Source organism: Homo sapiens, chromosome 2 (assembly GCF_000001405.40).
Source record: "Homo sapiens chromosome 2, GRCh38.p14 Primary Assembly".
In the NCBI taxonomy this organism is placed as follows: Eukaryota; Metazoa; Chordata; class Mammalia; order Primates; family Hominidae; genus Homo; species Homo sapiens.
In genome coordinates, this window is record NC_000002.12 from 195559268 (window position 1) to 195578622 (window position 19355).

The 19355-nt window shown below is 42.2% G+C and overlaps 1 long non-coding RNA gene across 1 annotated transcript, besides 2 other annotated features; it reads right to left on the bottom strand.

Annotated features, from left to right (window-relative positions):
- Window positions 344-393: an enhancer, noted in NCBI's record as "active region_16888". NCBI's record gives its function as "activates an Ori minimal core promoter by ATAC-STARR-seq in GM12878 lymphoblastoid cells {active_cell/tissue: GM12878}" and the evidence as "EXISTENCE:reporter gene assay evidence [ECO:0000049][PMID:35858748]".
- On the bottom strand, window positions 10364-15226 carry LINC01827 (long intergenic non-protein coding RNA 1827). Its single transcript, NR_187191.1, has 2 exons — window positions 15057-15226; window positions 10364-10595 (listed from the first exon to the last, which is right to left on the bottom strand). It is a non-coding gene; the product is annotated as a long intergenic non-protein coding RNA 1827 (long non-coding RNA).
- Window positions 10954-11544: an enhancer, noted in NCBI's record as "OCT4-NANOG hESC enhancer chr2:196434945-196435535 (GRCh37/hg19 assembly coordinates)". NCBI's record gives its function as "activates a minimal SCP1, AML or CMV promoter by ChIP-STARR-seq in naive H9 embryonic stem cells {active_cell/tissue: H9 hESC(naive)}" and the evidence as "EXISTENCE:reporter gene assay evidence [ECO:0000049][PMID:30033119]".
- Window positions 15227-19355: the final 4129 nt, after the last annotated feature.

Here is a 19355-nt window from a genome sequence, read left to right on the forward strand (position 1 = left end):
TCCCATGACATTGGTTTACCTATGTAACAAACCTTCCCATGTACCCCACAAACCTAAAATTAAAAGTTTAAACAAGGGGAAAATTTAGACATACACAGAGACAGGGCCATTTGATGATGGAGACAGAGATTGGAGGGTTGCAGCTGCAAGCCAAGCAATGCCAAAAATGTCAGCAAGCACCAGAAGCTAGGGGAGCGGCCCAGGTCAGTTTCTCCCTTAGGGCCTCCAAAAGGAACCAACCCTACCAACGCTGATTTTAGACTCCCAGCCTCCACAACCGTGAAACAAATACAGATGTTTAAGCAACCCAGTTTGTGGTGTCTTGTTACAGCAGCCCTAGGAAACTAAAACTGGGAGCATCAAAGCCATTTCCTGCTCTATTGTGTCCTCGTCCCACAGATGAGCCTAGAAATGCCTGACTTGGCTATGTAAAAATACAGAGAACTTGCCACTTTCATGAGAGGCTGACTGCTCATGAACTGTCACAGGACAGGTGCACTTCATCAGCCTCAGCTCATGCTTTACTCATGGTCTTTGTTGGTTCCTTTGAAAGCAGGATGTGGTTTGCCCCAGCTTCCCTCCTTCTTGGAACCAGCATGTAACGCATACTTGTTTTGAGAGTTTTTTTTTTATTATTATTACTATTGCAGAGAAACAGGGCTTTAAAAAGATTCAAAAGCATTTCAAAACTATGAAAATCTCCCAAATATATAAGTGGTATATGTGGGCTTTGCTGAGATGTCATTGCAGTTTGGCCTGTTTATTGTCATCTGGTACCTGCTCCATAAGGATGACAGTTATTATTTGTAGAATCATTCCATGAGCCACTTCTAAAGATGCAGCTTTATTAGGCCACTGAAAATGGAAAGATGAGATACAGTCTCTGATCTCACAGAAATTACACTTCAGAAGGGACAGAAATATTTAAGCAAATCAGGGCAATAGGTGTTAAAAATTAAAAAGTGTACGTGGCATATTGAGGTGGCATAAGTTAGGTATCATTAATAATTTCAAGAATAAAATGATCTTGAATTGAGATTTGGAAAATATAGATATTTGTCAAGTAGGCGAGGCGAGAAAGGGCATTCCAGCATGGGCAATGGTCCAGGTATGTACACACACATACACACTCACACACACATTGGCAAATTTGAGGGAACTGCAAGTAGTTTATTGTGGGTAGAGTAATATAAAATAGAATTGAAAGCAAGTTTTTTAAAATGAGCCTAAGGGAATACGATAGTAGCAAGAGAGAACTTTGTTCAGAAAATTATTGCATACGTTTCTATTTTTTTTTTCTTGTTTTTGAGACAGGGTCTCACTCAGTCGCCCAGGCTGGAGTGCAGTGGCAAGATCTCAGCTCACTGCAGCCTTGACCTCCCGAGCTCAAGCGTTCCTGCCACCTCAGCCTCCCAAGTAAGTTTCTGAGACTATAGGTGTGCGACACGAAGCCCAGCTAATTTTTTTTTTTTTTTTTTTTTTTTTTGTAGAGACTGGGTTTTGCCATGTTGCTCAGGCTGGTTTTAAACTCCTGAGCTCAAGTGGTCTGCCCACCTCAGCCTCCCAAAGTGCTAGGATTACAGGTGTGAGCCACCATATCCAGCCAGGTTTCTATAGTTTTTTTTTAATAGGTAGCTTTCACATGTGACTCCATGCATCAGAGTAGGTAATTCAAAGAAGAGAACCTCATCAGTTAAGACTCACAATATCATAAGGTAAAAACTAATCCTTTGCTCAAAAGAATGAGAAAAATATTTACTATAATCCCAAAGTGTAGTTGTGGTGGCAGAAGGGAAGAAGAGAAAGGAACAGAAATGAAACAAAAATGATCAGGAGGTAGAGTACACTGGACAAAATAACTGTAGGATGGCTCCCAGTTTTCTTGCATTGGTGACAAGGAGAATGGAGACACTGTAAGCTAAAGGCAAGAAAGACAGTGAGTTCAGTTGTGGGAATATCAACTGTTTAATACCCTATGGGGAAATACTAGTAAAGTTGTCCAGTGAGCATCAGGGATGACGAACTCAGATGACAGGCATGATTGGAATTAGAGATATCAAATGAGCTTATAGTTAGAAGTTGAAGCTAAAAAAAAAAAATGGATAAGCTCAGTCAAATGGGCTTGTAGACTAAGAAAAGAAGGTATGTAATGATTAAGAGCATAGGCTCTGGAGCCAAAATGCTAGCGTCTGGATCATAGCTCCATTACTAGCTAGCCATGTGATCTTAGGCAAATTAACTTCTCTGTTTCAGTTCCTGCAATTATGAGGTTGTGAAAATTAACTGAGTTATTTTATGTAATGTACTTAGAAGTGTGCCTGACCCATAGTAAATATTCAATAATCTGTGAAGAGAGAAAATGGGGACATGGGAAAAGAGAGAGGCAGAGACAGAAAAAGATTGGTGAGAAAGACAGCCAAGGAAAAAAGCGCAATGAAAAGCAGTATACAAGCAGTGGACAAAGAGAAGGGGGCTATAAGAAAGGCTGGAAAGGTGCTAAAGGACGAAAGAAATTAAAACCAGCAAGGAATGTAAGAATCTCAAGATGAAGTGTTGGTTCAAAAGTTGGATCTTGCTGGGTGCGGTGGCTCACGCCTGTAATCCCAGAACTTTGAGAGGCAAGGCAGGCAAATCACTTGAGGTCAGGAGTTCAAGACCAGCCTGGCCAACATGGTGAAGCCCTGACTCTACTAAAAGTACAAAAATTAGCCAGGCATGGTGGAGTGTGCCTGTAATCCCAGCTACTCGGGAAGCTGAGGCACGAGAACTGCTTAAACCCAGGAGGTGGAGGTTGCAGTGAGCGGAGATCTGGCCACTGCACTCCAGCCTGGGCAACAGAGTGACACCCTGTCTCAAAAAAAAAAAAAAAAAAAAAAAAAAAAAGACATTAAGAGTCCACCGGATTGGTATTTGGGTCAGTAGGAGCTCTCCGAGAGTACAGCACAAAAGCAGAAGCAGATGTGTGGGAGGTGTGGGAGGCCACTGCACAACCTCCTCACTAGCCTCCTGCTGTTTTTACCTACTTGTGTGTGTACCTAATAGAATTTTTCTTGATATGAAGGTGCAACCTGAAGATTTAGCATTTTCTTTCAATTTAGTCAGCTTCCTGTTTTTCATGCAAATTGGTCTGGAGAGAGCCGTTTTAAGTAGATAAAACAAATTCGCAAAAATTGTATTACTTGTATTATCACCTTCCCCAGTTCCACCACTATCAGTCAACATCGCCTGCTCTTTCCCAAGGATAACAGTGATGATGGCAGAGAAACAGCAGAGACAATAAGAAAATGCCAAAACAAAAATATAAGAAGATAGAATAAGAACCTGTCTCAATAACTCCACAGCGCTGGAGCGGGAACATCTGTGTATGTGAAAATGTGTTAGGATATGTGTTTCACATGCCGATTTCCAGGCCCTGCTTTCAGAGAGATCAGGGAATCTGGATTCTAACACATCTTCCATGTGATTCTGATGCAAGCAGCCTAGGAAGCTGACTTTTCAAAATAATCACTCAGAAGTGTGTAAATATATTGAGTAAATATACTTTCATTATAAGATCAGAGATAACACAAAAGCAAGGCAAGATATTTCATGGTACTTAGTCCCACACTTAAAGTATTCCTAAACAGAAGTGTTTCTCAAGCTTTAAGGATTGTTAAAATACAGATTGCTGAGCCCCACACTATTTCTGACTCCGTAGGTCTAGAATGTGGTCCAAGAATTAGCTGTAACACGCTCACGGGTGACCGTGTGTTGAGAACTCCTGCTTCATTGAATTCTAGCAGTCCCTGGGTGTGCGTGGCCTTAGGGTAGGCGGGTAACAGGGATGAGTCCCAGGACACCGCGCACCCCCCCGCCCCCCTCCCCCCACTTCCCCCGCCCTCTCCACCCACCGCCACCCCCCACCCGCTCCCCACCCCGCCTCTCCCCACCCCCTAGGGCCCCCCGCCCCTCCCCATCCCCCCATCCCCCGCCCCCACACCTCCCCCGCCCCCCACACCTCCCCGGCCCCTCCGCCCCCCCCGCCCCCGCACAACGTCAAATCCGCACATACACAAGTCTTGCAGTTGACCCTGCCCAAGCTGTGAATGTGAAATGCTGGCCCTCCATACACACAGGGTTCCTATCCCACCAATGCTGTTTTCCATCAGCATTTGGTTGAAAAGAATCCGCGTATAAGCAAGCCTGCGCAGTTCAAACCCCTGTTGTTTAGAGTCAACTTACTTTGCTCTCCTCTGTCAGCAATATGAAGAAAATCATGCTGGTCATTATATATATATATTTTTAAAACATTAAAAAATAGGCTGGGCATGGGGCTCACACCTGTAATTCTAGCACTTGGGGAGGCGAGGCGGGAGGATTGCTTGAGCCCAGGAGTTCCAGACCAGCGTGGGCAACACAGACACTGTCTCTATTAAAAAAAAAAAAAAAAAAAAAAAAAGCATAAAAGATAAAGTAATTCTTTGTTTGTTTGTTTGTTTGTTTTTGAGACGGAGTCTCACTCTGTCACCCAGGCTGGAGTGCAGTGGCGTGATCTCCACTCACTGCAACCTCCGCCTCCCGGGGTTCAAGTGATTCTTCTGCCTCAGCCACCCGAGTGACTGGGATTACAGGCACCCGCCACCACGCCTGGCTAATTTTTATATTTTAGTAGAGATGGGGTTTCACCATGTTGGCCAGGCTGGTCTTCAACTCCTGACCTCAAGTGATCCGCCAGCCTCAGCCTCCCAAAGTGCTGGGATTGCTGGCGTGAGCCACCTCGCCCAGCCGAAAAATAAAGTAATTCTGATCCATGGTGGTAAGTGTCACACAGCCTTATATACTAAAGCAGGAGAATGATTTCACACATGGATTATATCAGGTGGTCTCAAGGCCAGCCCAGGTAGGTCAAAGTGCAGACGTGAAGATTTTGCTCCTTCAGTTACATCGCAGTGGTTTTGCACAGCCATCCTAAAACTTCCCTGAGAGGGTTTAAATGACACATGTAAGGTACTGGGTTCAGCCTTAGCAAAAGATGTTGTTTCAATTTGAGCATACGTCAGGAGAGAAATAGTTTGAGAATTATTTCTCCTCCCTAACACTTGGATGTTGTGTAAGAACTCAAAATGAAGATTCAGTTAATGATAAAAATCAGCTTACTGTTCTCGTAAATGACTTATTTTCTAACTATGATTCATAATTACATACTTGCATAGCGTGTGTTCAACATGACTGTACTGTGATTCTTTCTAGCAACTAGTTTTATATTCCTTTAAAATGAAAAACCTGAAAATGTTTTTGTATGATGCATTTATTGTAACAAATTTAAGTGTAGGATTCCTTCATAATTGTACATTTCATCCTTTTTTTATAGTAAGTGCTTTTTCACAAATATATATTACATGCTGACTTTCAAATAAGAAAGGCTATCACAGGAAATAATACCTGTTAGGTTTTCTTTTTTTGAGACAGAGTTTTGCTCTTGTTGCCCCGACTGGAGTGCAATGGCACAATCTCAGCTCACTGCAACCTCGGCCTCCCAGGTTCAAGCGATTCTCCTGCCTCAGTCTCCCGAGTAGCTGGGATTACAGGCACCCACCACCACACCTGGCTAATTTTTTGTATTTTTTGTAGAGACAGGGTTTCACCATGTTGGCCAGGATGTTCTCAAATCATGACCTTAGGTGATCCGCCCGTCTCAGCCTCCCAAAGTGCGGGGTATTACAAGCATGAGCTACCATACCCGGCCAGGTTTTCATATTCTTGTTGTAACAGTATTACTTTAAATGTATATGCTCAAGTGGAAATTGTTAATTATGGAAAGAACAGGTGTTTTATGAGAGAGACAACATTTATAGTCTTTAATAAATTTATAACAATTAGAAATGAAGATTTGTGACCTCAATTACATAGTCACGAGTATTTTTTTAGGTGAATTTAAGGCAAACAGGTTTTTTAAACAAAATTACTGGCGATGAGAGTGGAAAGTAATTACCATTTTATCCCTCCACTCTCACACTGGCTTAGAGAATAAGAGCGGTTTACCTCACAGGTGTTTTAGACGCAAACCCAGTGGTTCTGATCTAATCACTCCAGCATAACGATGGGATTTCTGGAACCCCATGGGTGTCCAAAGGTGCTTCTGTCAAGGGAATAATGGCCACAGTGTGAGCTGCCAAATAGCAATAGCTTTTCAAGATGCCTTCTAAGCTGCAGTAGAAGGAAAAGAGAATTCCTTCTTTCTTTAAAAAAAAAATTTTTTTGATTACCATTATAAAGAAAAACAAAAAAAGTATAAGTTGTTTTTAAAATTAAAGTAATATATATGGTTTTTTAAAGTATTAAAAGAAAAATGGTTTTCCTTTTTATTTTTCATAACACTCGCTCCTCAGAATTAACCATAGTTAATAGTTGTTTGGTATATATACACATAAAAATATTTTGCATACATCCCAGGTAATACACCTTTCCTTTGTCTCATTCACACAAGTGCAGTCATACCATACCATAGCTTTACATCTTGTTGAAAAACATATCTTGGGGGCCGGGCGCGGTGGCTCATGCCTATAATCCCAGTACTTTGGTGAGGTCAAGGTGGGCGGATCACTTGAGGTCAGGAGTTTGAGACCAGCCTGGCCAACATGGTAAAACCCCGTCTATACTAAAAATACAAAAATTAGCCAGGCGTGGTGGCATGAGCCTGAGTCCCAGCTACTCTGGAGGCTGAGGCAGGAGAATCACTTGAACCCAGGAGGCAGGGGTTGCAGTGAACCAAGATTGCACCACTGCACTCCAGCTTGGGCGACAGAGCGAGACTCCATTTCAAAAAAAAGAAAAAAAGAAAAGAAAAACATATCTTGGGTTTCTTTTTATATCTGCAAATAAAAATTTTCTTCATTCTTTTTTATTGCATAATATAGAATTGAATGTGTTTACAAGTTATGAAATCATTCTCTTATTAACAAACATTTGGGTGGTTTCTAATTTTTGCTATTACAAACAATGCTGCAATATAAGTATATCCGTAAGGTAAATTACTAGTTACAGAATTGTTGGGTCAAAGGGCATATGGTTTGCAGTTTTGATAGGTATTGTTAAATTGGCTTCTTAAAGAGTTGCCAAGTTTCACTCCCACTGACAGTGAATAAAAGAGCCTATCTTTTATTCACTGGTTCTTTTCTTAATCGTTGCTTCCAGCTACAGTAAGAGAAGGGGCGTATTCCAAATACTGGCAAGAACCCATCTACTGCCTGTAGAATTCTCCTCCACTTGTCAGTGTACCAAAGGACTTGCTGAATTCTGGTGATAACTCTCAAAGGCATCTATCTAATTTCACTAGTCAGTTTATCATGTAAATACATATTTAGCATATTTATCAAAGGATACCCACCATATGCTAGTTTCCCTAGAGCTTACTGATAATCTCGAATTTTTCAATCTGTCCTATATTTTATTTTGTCCTTGGGAAATATATAGTCCCAGTATCTGGATGGTAATAATAAATAATAATAGCTCCCTTATATTAGACGATTGCTCTAGGAACTCAGAACGTATTATACACATTATCTCATTAATCATAAAGCACCCCTTTAAGGTTGGCATTTTCATCTGTATTTCAAAATAACATAGAGCTTGAGCCACAGACTGTTAAGAATTTCCCTTAAGGGTCTTCATGAATTAATCAGTTTTATATGTTCTGGCCTTCTGATTTGAGTTCAGCAAAGTTCATGACAGAGGCTCTCTGAGTTCTCTTCATTAAGGAAAGTCTCAATGCTTTTATAAAACTATAACAAGCAAAATGGAGCAGAGGTCTCCAGAGGCAAAAGGGAAGGTTGTGAACTACTTTTCTCAAAGGATTTTACCATCTTCAATTAAACAATTACAAAGGAACTAAAAATCAGCCTCTCCCTCTCCCTCTCCCTCTCCCTCTGTCTCCCGTCTCCCGTCTCCCGTCTCCCGTCTCCCGTCTCCGTCTCCCCATGGTCTCCCTCTCATGCGGAGCCGAAGCTGGACTGTACTGCTGCCATCTCGGCTCACTGCAACCTCCCTGCCTGATTCTCCTGCCTCAGTCTGCCGAATGCCTGCGATTGCAGGCACGCACCGCCACGCCTGATTGGTTTTGGTGGAGACGGGGTTTCGCTGTGTTGGCCGGGCCGGTCTCCAGCCCCTAACCGCGAGTGATCCGCCAACCTCGGCCTCCCGAGGTGCCGGGATTGCAGACGGAGTCTCGTTCACTCAGTGCTCAATGGTGCCCAGGCTGGAGTGCAGTGGCGTGATCTCGGCTCACTACAACCTACACCTCCCAGCCGCCTGCCTTGGCCTCCCAAAGTGCCGAGATTGCAGCCTCTGCCCGGCCGCCACCCCGTCTGGGAAGTGAGGAGTGTCTCTGCCTGGCCGCCCATCGTCTGGGATGTGAGGAGCCCCTCTGCCTGGCTGCCCAGTCTGGAAAGTGAGGAGCGTCTCCGCCCGGCCGCCATCCCATCTAGGAAGTGAGGAGCGCCTCTTCCCAGCCGCCATCACATCTAGGAAGTGAGGAGCGTCTCTGCCCGGCCGCCCATCGTCTGAGATGTGGGGAGCGCCTCTGCCCCGCCGCCCCATCTGGGATGTGAGGAGCGCCTCTGCCCGGCCGAGACCCCGTCTGGGAGGTGAAGAGAGTCTCTGCCCGGCCGCCCCGTCTGAGAAGTGAGGAGCCCCTCCGCCCGGCAGCTGCCCCGTCTGAGAAGTGAGGAGCCTCTCCGCCCAGCAGCCACCCCATCTGGGAAGTGAGGAGCGTCTCCGCCCGGCAGCCACCCCGTCCGGGAGGGAGGTGGGGGGGGGGTCAGCCCCCGCCCGGCCAGCCGCCCCATCCGGGAGGGAGGTGGGGGGTCAGCCCCCCCGCCCGGCCAGCCGCCCCGTCCGGGAGGGAGGTGGGGCGGTCAGCCCCCCGCCCGCCAGCCGCCCCGTCCGGGAGGGAGGTGGGGGGGTCAGCCCCCCTGCCCGGCCAGCCACCCCGTCCGGGAGGTGAGGGGCGCCTCTGCCCAGCCGCCCCTACTGGGAAGTGAGGAGCCCCTCTGCCCGCCAGCCGCCCGTCCGGGAAGGAGGTGGGGGGGTCAGCCCCCCGCCCGCCAGCCGCCCGTCCGGGAGGGAGGTGGGGGGGTCAGCCCCCCCGCCCGGCCAGCCGCCCCGTCCGGGAGGTGAGGGGCGCCTCTGCCCGGCCGCCCCTACTGGGAAGTGAGGAGCCCCTCTGCCCGGCCAGCTGCCCCGTCCGGGAGGGAGGTGGGGGGTTCAGCCCCCCGCCCGGCCAGCCGCCCCGTCCGGGAGGGAGGTGGGGGGGGTCAGCCCCCCTGCCCGGCCAGCCGCCCCGTCCGGGAGGTGAGGGGCACCTCTGCCCGGCCGCCCCTACTGGGAAGTGAGGAGCCCCTCTGCCCGGCCACCGCCCCTTCTGGGAGGTGTGCCCAGTAGCTCATTGAGAACGGGCCAGGATGACAATGGCGGCTTTGTGGAATAGAAAGGCGGGAAAGGTGGGGAAAAGATTGAGAGATCGGATGGTTGCCGTGTCTGTGTGGAAGGAAGTAGACATGGGAGACTTTTCATTTTGTTCTGCACTAAGAAAAATTCCTCTGCCTTGGGATCCTGTTGATCTGTGACCTTACCCCCAACCCTGTGCTCTCTGAAACATGTGCTGTGTCCACTCAGGGTTAAATGGATTAAGGGCAGTGCAAGATGTGCTTTGTTAAACAGATGCTTGAAGGCAGCATGCTCGTTAAGAGTCATCACCAATCCCTAATCTCAAGTAACCAGGGACACAAACACTGCGGAAGGCCGCAGGGTCCTCTGCCTAGGAAAACCAGAGACCTTTGTTCACTTGTTTATCTGCTGACCTTCCCTCCACTATTGTCCCATGACCCTGCCAAATCCCCCTCTGTGAGAAACACCCAAGAATTATCAATAAAAAAATAAATAAATAAATAAAAATAAAAATAAAAATAAAAAATAAAAAAAAATAAAAATCAGGCCACAGGTGGGGAAGAAATCACATTGTAGATTAAAGTTTACATTAATTTTAAGATCCAGGAGATTTTCATGGTGGTAATTTAAATGAGACAACTAAACCTATAAAATTTCATGAGACACTCTCAAGCTTTGATCAGATTGGAATAGAAGGGGATGAACTGAAAGTTTTGCTAGGTTGGTTAGACAAGATGTAGGGGAAAACCTGTTACATAGGCCACGTGAGGCCTAATAACAAACTTGGCAGAACTGTCTGACAATGACACCAAGTGAAACGCTCCATTCAGCACCACCATTGGGAAATCTAGGACTGGTTGCATGGAATTTCTGGCCTGACACATAGAAGATCTCCTACAGAAGCCGCATGTGGACCAAGAAAGACATTGACAGGACTCTGTAGCATTTCCTTCAAGTTTATTAAATTGTCAGCTACGTGTATACAGTGGATTGTTCCATTGTTGCATTTCTATTCTTCTCTCATGAAAGTTAAGATTCTGAAGATACACAAAAAGGTGAAAATGCCTTTCACACAGGAATCCCACTCAGGGATCCTCTTCCTGTAGTTCTGCGGTTTTAGTAAGGGCTGCCATTGCCTCCTCCTGTTAGAATTTGCAGCAGAATCCTGTGGCCTGGGAGGAGGAAATGCACTATAGTGAATAGAAAAAAATAATACAAAATCCCATAAATAAAATCCCCTCTCTTGCTTTATAACTTCAGTCAAGAGTGACTTGTGAACTAGTAGCAGAGCTCAAAAGACAGTATACAGACTTTTTTCCAGAAAGAATGCTGGGACAGAAGTTTTTAGCATTTCAAACACTAAAATAGACCGAAGAAATTCAAAAAAATAATGTGCAAAATATCGTGGGCTTCAGTTAGCAGAACTGATTTGCTTTCTATAGCAGCAAAATTAGATGTGACTATCTTCAATGCTATGAACAATGGAGCTTAGCTACATAGCTCATATTTGTGCTAATTTCAGTGCATTAAAAGGTTTTTCATTGTTTTTATTGTTTCAAGCTACTCATAAATATGCACACTCAAGTAGCTGTACTGAAAAATTATGCCATGTTTGATGAAAAAGCTTCTTAAGATCACATACAATTGGTATCTCCGACACTTGAAAGATATCCTACATGTGAAGCAGTTGCTTTAAACACACACATGCACATACTAAGCTGTCCTCACTAGGAAGAGGCAAGGTCAGACTCCAGCGGGTTCCTGTCTCCTGTAGGGTTTGTCATTAGAGAACAAAGGCAAATTGCCAGTGCTTATGTACATGAATTGTCTTTATCCTCCTTTGTTTTGGTTATGGGGCCTATCCTAGTGATTTTACAAGATGCCTGCTGTGTTCCTGAGAAAATAAAATGTGCAAAGCTTGCTTCCCTTCAGCTTGTCCATACCCATGGAAGACATCTTGAGTGATTAATTGCTGAACTCTTAACTGCTCCTCTCTCCATTCCTTTGGTAGTTTGGTGTTAATCACAACCAAGTTGTCCTTTCAAGTGAAAATGCTGGCAGGTCCCTTTAGGTTTTATTGGGCCCCAGAGACATTTGGCCTAATCTGAATCTAAAGCTTAATTTCCAAAATTTAATCGATCTGATCTTTTTTTTTTAAGCCACTCATACTGACAACAATATAGATGACCTTTGGCCGGGCTCGGTGGCTCAATCCTGTAATCCCAGTACTTTGGGAGGCCGAGGCGGGCGGATCACAAGGTCAGGAGATTGAGACCATCCTGGCTAACATGGTGAAACCCCGTCTCTACTAAACATACAAAAAATTAGCTGGGTGTGGTGGCGGGCGCCTGTAGTCCTAGCTACTCGGGAGGCTGAGGCAGGAGAATGGCATGAACCTGGGAGGCGGAGCTTGCAGTGAGCCGAGATCTCACCACTGCACCCCAGCCTGGGCGACGAAGCGAGACTCTCAAAAAAAAAAAAATAGATAGATAGCTAGATAGATAGATAGATAGATAGATAGATAGATAGATAGATAGACAGATAGATAACCTTTTTAAAGATCCTTTTAGGCAATTTCAGTGGTTTGGGAGAACATTCAGTGCAGAAATCTTTGTATTCTCTAAAACTGGGAGACCTTTTTATAGACTCACACAATGAAATACATTTAGCACTAGAAGGGATCTCAAAATCATCTATTACAGGCCTATTGTTTTATCAGATAAAATTTCCATGATATAATTTTTTTCTAAATATGTATATTTTGGATAAAGTAATATAAGCATATAGTTCAAATGTCAAAAGGTACAAAACACTGAACAGTGAAAAATAAATGTCTCCCACTCCTAGTCACCCAGTTAGCATCTTTGGAGGAAACCACTGTCACCAGAGATAGTCTATGCGTGCTATGATATCCTTTCAGCAAGAGCTTCAGACCTAGCAAGACCAGAGAGGTCATAAATTAATTGTATTTGGAATTATCATAAAGTAATAGTAGACCTTTTAACTTCAATCTCAACTCTCATTACTTACTAACTTGAACAAGTTAATTAATGTCTCTTCCTCAATTTCCTCATCTGTATGATAGAACTAATGATACCCACCAGTCAGGATTGTCAGGATTATGTGAGGTAATGTACCAAAGTCCCAGATACATACCTTAATTTTGACTATGGGAAAATATAATCTTTTTTTTTTTCTTAAATCTATCTGCATTCTAAATGTAGAGGACACAGTTTCATTAAGGTAGGAATGAGGATAACTATACAAAATATATAATAAGGAAAAATATGGTATGATGTCTGTTTGCATAGCACTATCAGTTTATTTTTCCCAGCCTTGATGAAGTTGATTGGCTTCTTCCTTAATCACTTTCATTTCATTAATAGTTGTCTTTCATCTTCTCCAAGAGCACATCACACAACCTGAAAGTCAGAGGTCTCCCTGAAATCCACTACTTTCGAAGATTGTATGCTGATCATATTACTGAGAGAGTTCAAGAGGAGGGAACTTATCACTTAATAAATTTCGGTGATGCAACTAATGTGTCCTAGGCATTCTGCTAGGTGGTACAGAACCAAGCAAAACACAATGGACAAGATGGTACTAACGACTGTTCTACTTAGGGAGCCAGGAAATTCAAGGGATTGCTTTGTCTCCTAAGACCTAGAAAATCATTAATCTCACTCAAATTTAAGAGTTCAGTTACAAGTAAAAGGAAATCCAATCAAACAACTTAAACAACCAAGGGAATGTATTGGCCGATGTGACTGACGAACCAAAAACTGGGCAGATTTTAACAAAACCAGTAGTCCCATAATGTCAATAAAGACCTGCTTTCTTTCCACTGCTGCACTCTATCTCCTGTGAAGCAGTTTTCGTCTTAGGCTGCGTCTTCTAGTGTAGTCAGAAGCAACCACAGTTACATGCTTCCTAGTTCATATCTACAAAAGCAGAGAGTACCTTTGAAGCAACTCCCATGGATCAGACAAGAATTTTCTTTTCCAAAAACTTCAGCAATTGGCTGGCAGTGGTGACTCAGGCCTTTCACCCTAGCACTTTGGGAGGCTGAAGTGGGCAGAACACTTGAGCTCAGGAGTTAGAGACCAACCTGGGCAACATAGGGAGACCCTATATCTACAAAACATCAAAAAAATTAGCCGGGTATGGTGGCCCCCTCCTGTGGTCCCAACTTCTTGGGAGGCTGAGGTGGGAGGACCACTTGAGCCCAGGAGATCGAAACTGCACTGAGCCATGATCCCGCCATTGCCCGTCAGCCTGGATGACAGAGCGAAACCCAGTCTCAAAAACAAAAAAAAAAAAACAAACAAAACTCCAGCAACTGTCTCCTTTATTGTCCATTAATGGTTCACATGCCTACTCTGAATCAGTCACATGGACAGAATGATGTAATAATGCTGATTAGTGTAAGACAAACAGGTTCTCTGGAGGTGGGCAATCCAGCCCAAGCCATGCTCAAAAACATACTGTTTGTTTAAAGTAGAAAAGGCTCTGGATGGTGAGAAGGGATTTTACAAATGTCAGTGTAAGCTCTTGCTACTGCTTCTCTCTGCATGTCTATTCTAGGTTGCTCTTGTAGGCTGGCTCCACATGTAAGGATTTTACTTTGGGTTCCCTCATAATTTAATGTTCATGTAGCTGAAGCTTGCCATAGAGGTCTCACACTAAATACCTGTGACCCGACAACTCCAATTCTCATCACTTAACTATGACTTTTGTGTCTCAGTGAAATTTTTTCAAACAATATCATCTAGTTGGCTTGGCCTAACCTATGGATCGACTCTCAGAGTAGGTCTCCCCACCCTGGTCCAATCATCATAACCAGGGAGTAGGGTCATATGATATAAACATAGATGACTAGGCCCATCTGTTCAGCAGGGGAACAGATTCTTTTAGAAGGGAATGTGGGCAGAAAGGCAATTATATACATCTCTAACCAGAAAAATCCCAGGGGTGGAAATGATAGGAAGAAATGGCACCAAATTTAAAGATAAAAGAAAAGCTGCCACTGTAATTCAAAATTAGACAATGTAACTGATCATAGACTTTTGCTATAATCGCTATTTTGGCCTTATAATCTCTGAAATTTACTTTACAGAACAGTGAAACACTTCTTTGAGGAGAAACATTATAGAAGAAAACAATCTTTGATCTAGAAACCTAAAAAGATATTTATGCTCATTATATTCCAGGTGCTGAAGAGTGTCAAAGCACAGCTAAATATTATGCCATTTGTGCAGACTCGGAATGAGTTTAAGCACTGAAAGAGCTACCAGAATACCCCAGCAGAACATCTCAAAACAAAGCATTATTTCTCTCTTAAGAAAATTACCAGGCTGGGCACGGTGGCTCACACCTGTAATCTCAGCACTTTGGGAGGACGAGGCAGGCGGATCTACCTGAGGTGAGGGGTTCGAGACCAGCCTGCCCAATGCGGTGAAACCCCGTCTCTACTAAAACTAAAAAAAATAGCTGGGTGTGGTGGCGGGCACCTGTAATCCCAGCTACTCAGGAGGCTGAAGCAGGGAGAATTGCAGTGAGCCGGATTGCACCACTGCACTCCAGCCTGGGCGACAGAGTGAGACTCCATCTCAAAAAAAAAAAGGGAAAATTACCTATTTGCACTTCTTGATTTCCAGGAAGGTGTTAGAGATCTTCATCCCATCCCCAGCCCAAGTCTAGACGTGTTCACCGGAAAGGAAGAAGTTTTTGAGTTCTCAGCAGTAGCTGTGGCTCTAAGGAAAGCAGTGTTGTATGGGTATTAGAGTAGTACAACCAAAGCTCTGCTGGAACAAAAGAGGAACACAGAAAGCTAGGAATGACAAGTGTTTTTCTTCCCTCTCATATGATTCAGTCAGGCTGTCTTTGACCTACATAGCCATCTGACTGGCCACTGTTTTCTTTTCTTTCTTTTCTTTTTTTAGAGATGGGATCTTGCTGTGTTGCCCAGGCTGGACTGAAACTCCTGGGTTCCAGTGATGCTCTCTCCTGAGCTTCCCGAGCAGCTGGGACCACAGGCATACACCACTGCACTGCACTGCACTTGATTAGGTATATTTTAAAATGTAAAATAATAGTGAAAGGATTCTCCCTAGTCCCCATAAACCTGGGAATGGATCGAGGTGAGGACACCAAAACTTTCCCCTGAGACATGGAAATTGCACTGAATGTTTCTTGATGGTTCTAATGCATTAAGAATTAAGAGCTCTTTGCCTAGATTACCCCCAAAATATTAAAAATAACAAAACAAAGTAGAACTAAGGAAAAATATAAGACACATAGAGAAAATGTTTTTCAAAAAATGTTATTTGACCTATGGCTAATTCTGATTTTAAAAGCAGTTAAACAAACGAAACACAACCTAGTGATGCTTACGACTGAAGAAACCATTGATACCTGAAAGAAGGGAAGACTTTAGATATAAAGGCAGAGTGGAATTTTTTTAACCAACATTTCATGCAGCAGCTCCACATGGCCTTCCCATGTCTCAATAGCTTTGATTTGTGGAAATAATGGTTATGCAATTTCCACATATTGTGCTCCAATCACAGCATGTAAGCAACAATAAAAAGAAAACAACTAAATGTACTTGAAGCTGGAGATTTTGATAAGGTTTTCTTTTCACTTCACAAAGTTTGTTAACTGGATATTTTTCTAAGGCAACTGAAATATTCCTGCTGAGTTTCAGACAGATATATGTAAAAGCAGCAAAGTGTCTGATTTTCTTAAATGTATCTATGGCAGCAACACTAGTTAATTTAGTTGTGAAAAAATAACCAAAAAGAAACTATCGGACTATAAGAATTCCACAGTTGGCAGACTGTTGGTATTTCTCTTTCTCTTTAAATATATATATAAATATATCTATAAATATATATAAATATCTATAAATATATCTATAAATATATATATTAAATATATATATGCCATCTGTTTACAAAAGATGAGAAATGTTGGAGAAAATTATTTCCCTTAGGGTATAATGTTATGGCCATTCAGAGAGAGGTCTCTGGTATTTTCAAGGAGAATTTGGTACAAGAACAAGACAGCATCAGGTCTGCACAGTCATTGGCTGCAAAAAACAAAGATGATTTCCTTTAGTCCCTGTTTTAGTTTTACTCTTTGAACTTCCAAGTTTATTTATTGTTATTATTTTTAATGTGGCACAGATTGTTTTAAGAATCAACTTGGTTCCCTTTTTTGAAGTCCTTTTTTTTTTTTAATTTGTTGAGACTGGTTTCTAAAGTGCTCCACCTCCACCACCTGTCATTAGATGGGGGGCTGCGGCTTGGAGAACACTCACAGTTCTGAGTTCAGCTGTGGACGGAATAATGAAGGGCAGCTGCAGAAGGAGGTAGAGCTGCAGATTCAGAGGTAGGTGGCAATACAGTATTTCAAAATAAAAACTACCAAGCTTCAGATCGGTGATAAATTGTCATGCACTAAGTGTACCTGGAGAAATAAAACTAATCTCTATCCATTTTAATTCTCTCAGAAGGACTTTCCCTCTTACATATAAAATCCTGGGAATTTCCCCCTCCTCATCCAGTCATTTCTATGTGATTAATCATACATTGGTTACTCGTCACTAGATGGCATTGTGCAATGTTTCTTGACAGCAGTAACTAAATTGGTAAAGTTACAGCTTGGGCTATTTTTTGGTATTTTCTTCTTTGGGATGGATCTAGAGGATCTAAATCTGATCCTGGATATGTCATCATCTTTATATGTTTTATGAGTATGGCTTTGTAAAATTTGTGTCTTCTTTGAGAGTCTTTTTCTTAGTATAACTTCCTAGTACATGAACCCAATAATTATCAGTCTTAAATGAACAATAAATAAATTCTTCCTCTAATTTTCCTCCAAGTCACATGTACAAATGTTTACTTACATTTGCAGAAATAAAATAAAGCTCAACATATCTAGGATCTCTACCTAGGCATGAAGGTAGAAAAAAATATATATGGAAATTTGCTTTATCTAAGCATGGCCAGTTGAAATCAAGCTGTGGATAAGCCATGAAGATAGAGTAATATAAAAAGATCAGTTAATGCTTTCATAAACCTGTGAAATTCACAAAGGAAATATAATAGCCATAAGTAAGTAAAACTGATATAAATGTGTTATGAATTAGTAGTCACAGTCTTGTACTTTTCCAGACATGACAAATAATTGTGACCATTTTTATTTGTTGTGTTCCCATAAACCTTATGGTGCTGAAGAATAAATTCTAATTTCTGTGCTATCAATAAAATAGGACACATTTTCCCAAGTTATAATTATGACTTAGTGACCTGAGAATTTGTAAATAACAATGGATGATAAAATTAATTATTTGGAATGAAGCTAACAAGATAAATGACAGATAGATAGATAGATAGATAGATAGATAGATAGATAGATAGATATGGTAGATAAATGCATAGCAGCTAATACAGCATTTGACATTCTGAAGTTATATAAAAACTATAATATTGATCTGCTGTTTTCATTTACTTATTTTAAAATCTGAAAAATTGTTTCTCTTTTTTAATTTGCCTTTTTATTTTAATTTCATTCATTTGTCCATTCAAAAACATTAACCAAACACCAGCTTTGGATCTGTTCAATACCAGAGATGCAAAGATAAGTAGGATACCAAATGTGCCCTCAAAAAGCCTTTAGTCTTTTATGTTAAGCATCCATAAAGTAACTATCAGAATCATTCATGAAAGAAGGAGCAAGGGGGAATGAAAGAGGGAGATATGTAATGCAAAGAGTCTTAGAAAAGGAAACAAGATGCAGGCCGGGTGTGGTGGCTCACACCTGCAATCCCAGCACTTTAGGAGGCCGAGACAGGAGGATTGCTTGAGTCCAGGAGTTTGAAACCAGTGTGGGCAACATAGCGAGATCCTGTCTCAAAAAAAGAACAAAGCAAAAAAGATGCATGGTTTATGGTCACAGCTCTAACAGTAACTCATGCTATAACCCTGGACCTCCCTCATTGTATGTTCAAATGAAATAATTTTATAGAAAAGTGCTTTGTAAACTGTAAAATGTTTTTAAAATACTAGTTTTTAAAGCTTTTTCATATAAGAAACCCACTTTTTTTTTAATAGAACTTTGATCCTTCAGGCCAATGCAGCTCCCTTTTAATTTTCTGTTTCAAAATTCCAGCTGCATACATAAAATCCATTAAATTTCCAACTCATCTTGTAAAACAAAAATTGGACAGAAGCACCACAATCTTGGAGAGAGAAAAGGCAAAAGGCTAACCTAAATGCCCAGTGATCACATCAAACTCTAAAACACTGAGATGCTCTGATTGTCCCCTTTCCCCCTTCTACTCTGCTGATTCTTGCTCTTTCTCTTAGTTTCTGCAGGTGAGAAACGTAATTTCAAGTAAATCTGTTACAATAAAACATGACAGATGAAAGACCCCCATTCTGGTCCTAGGCCATTACCTCTTCCACGCTTTGATGGTAGAAAAAAAACAAAAAGCGTTTGAATGGATTGCTAGATTAGGAGATTCAGTACAATATCATCTATTCTTAGACCGGTTTAATAGTTCTGCAAAATGCCTATTTTTCATTAAAGCCAGTCATACTGTAATCTACAATAGATAAGTCAGAAAAAGTTTTATTTTCGGTATACAGACATCATTATGTAAGAAATAAGAAACTCAAATGTATTTAAGGCCACAAAGAAAGATACATAGGTGGGGTGGGGGAGAGCATTAGGGAAAGAGCTAATGCATGCTGGGCCTAATACCTAGGTGATGGGTTGCTAGGTACAGCAAACCACCATGGCACATGTTTACCTGTGTAACAAACCTGCACATCCTGCACAGGTACCTTGGAACTTAAAAAAATAAAATAAAATAAAAATAAAGAAATTATATATTTATTTTATTTTATTTTATTTTTATTTATTAT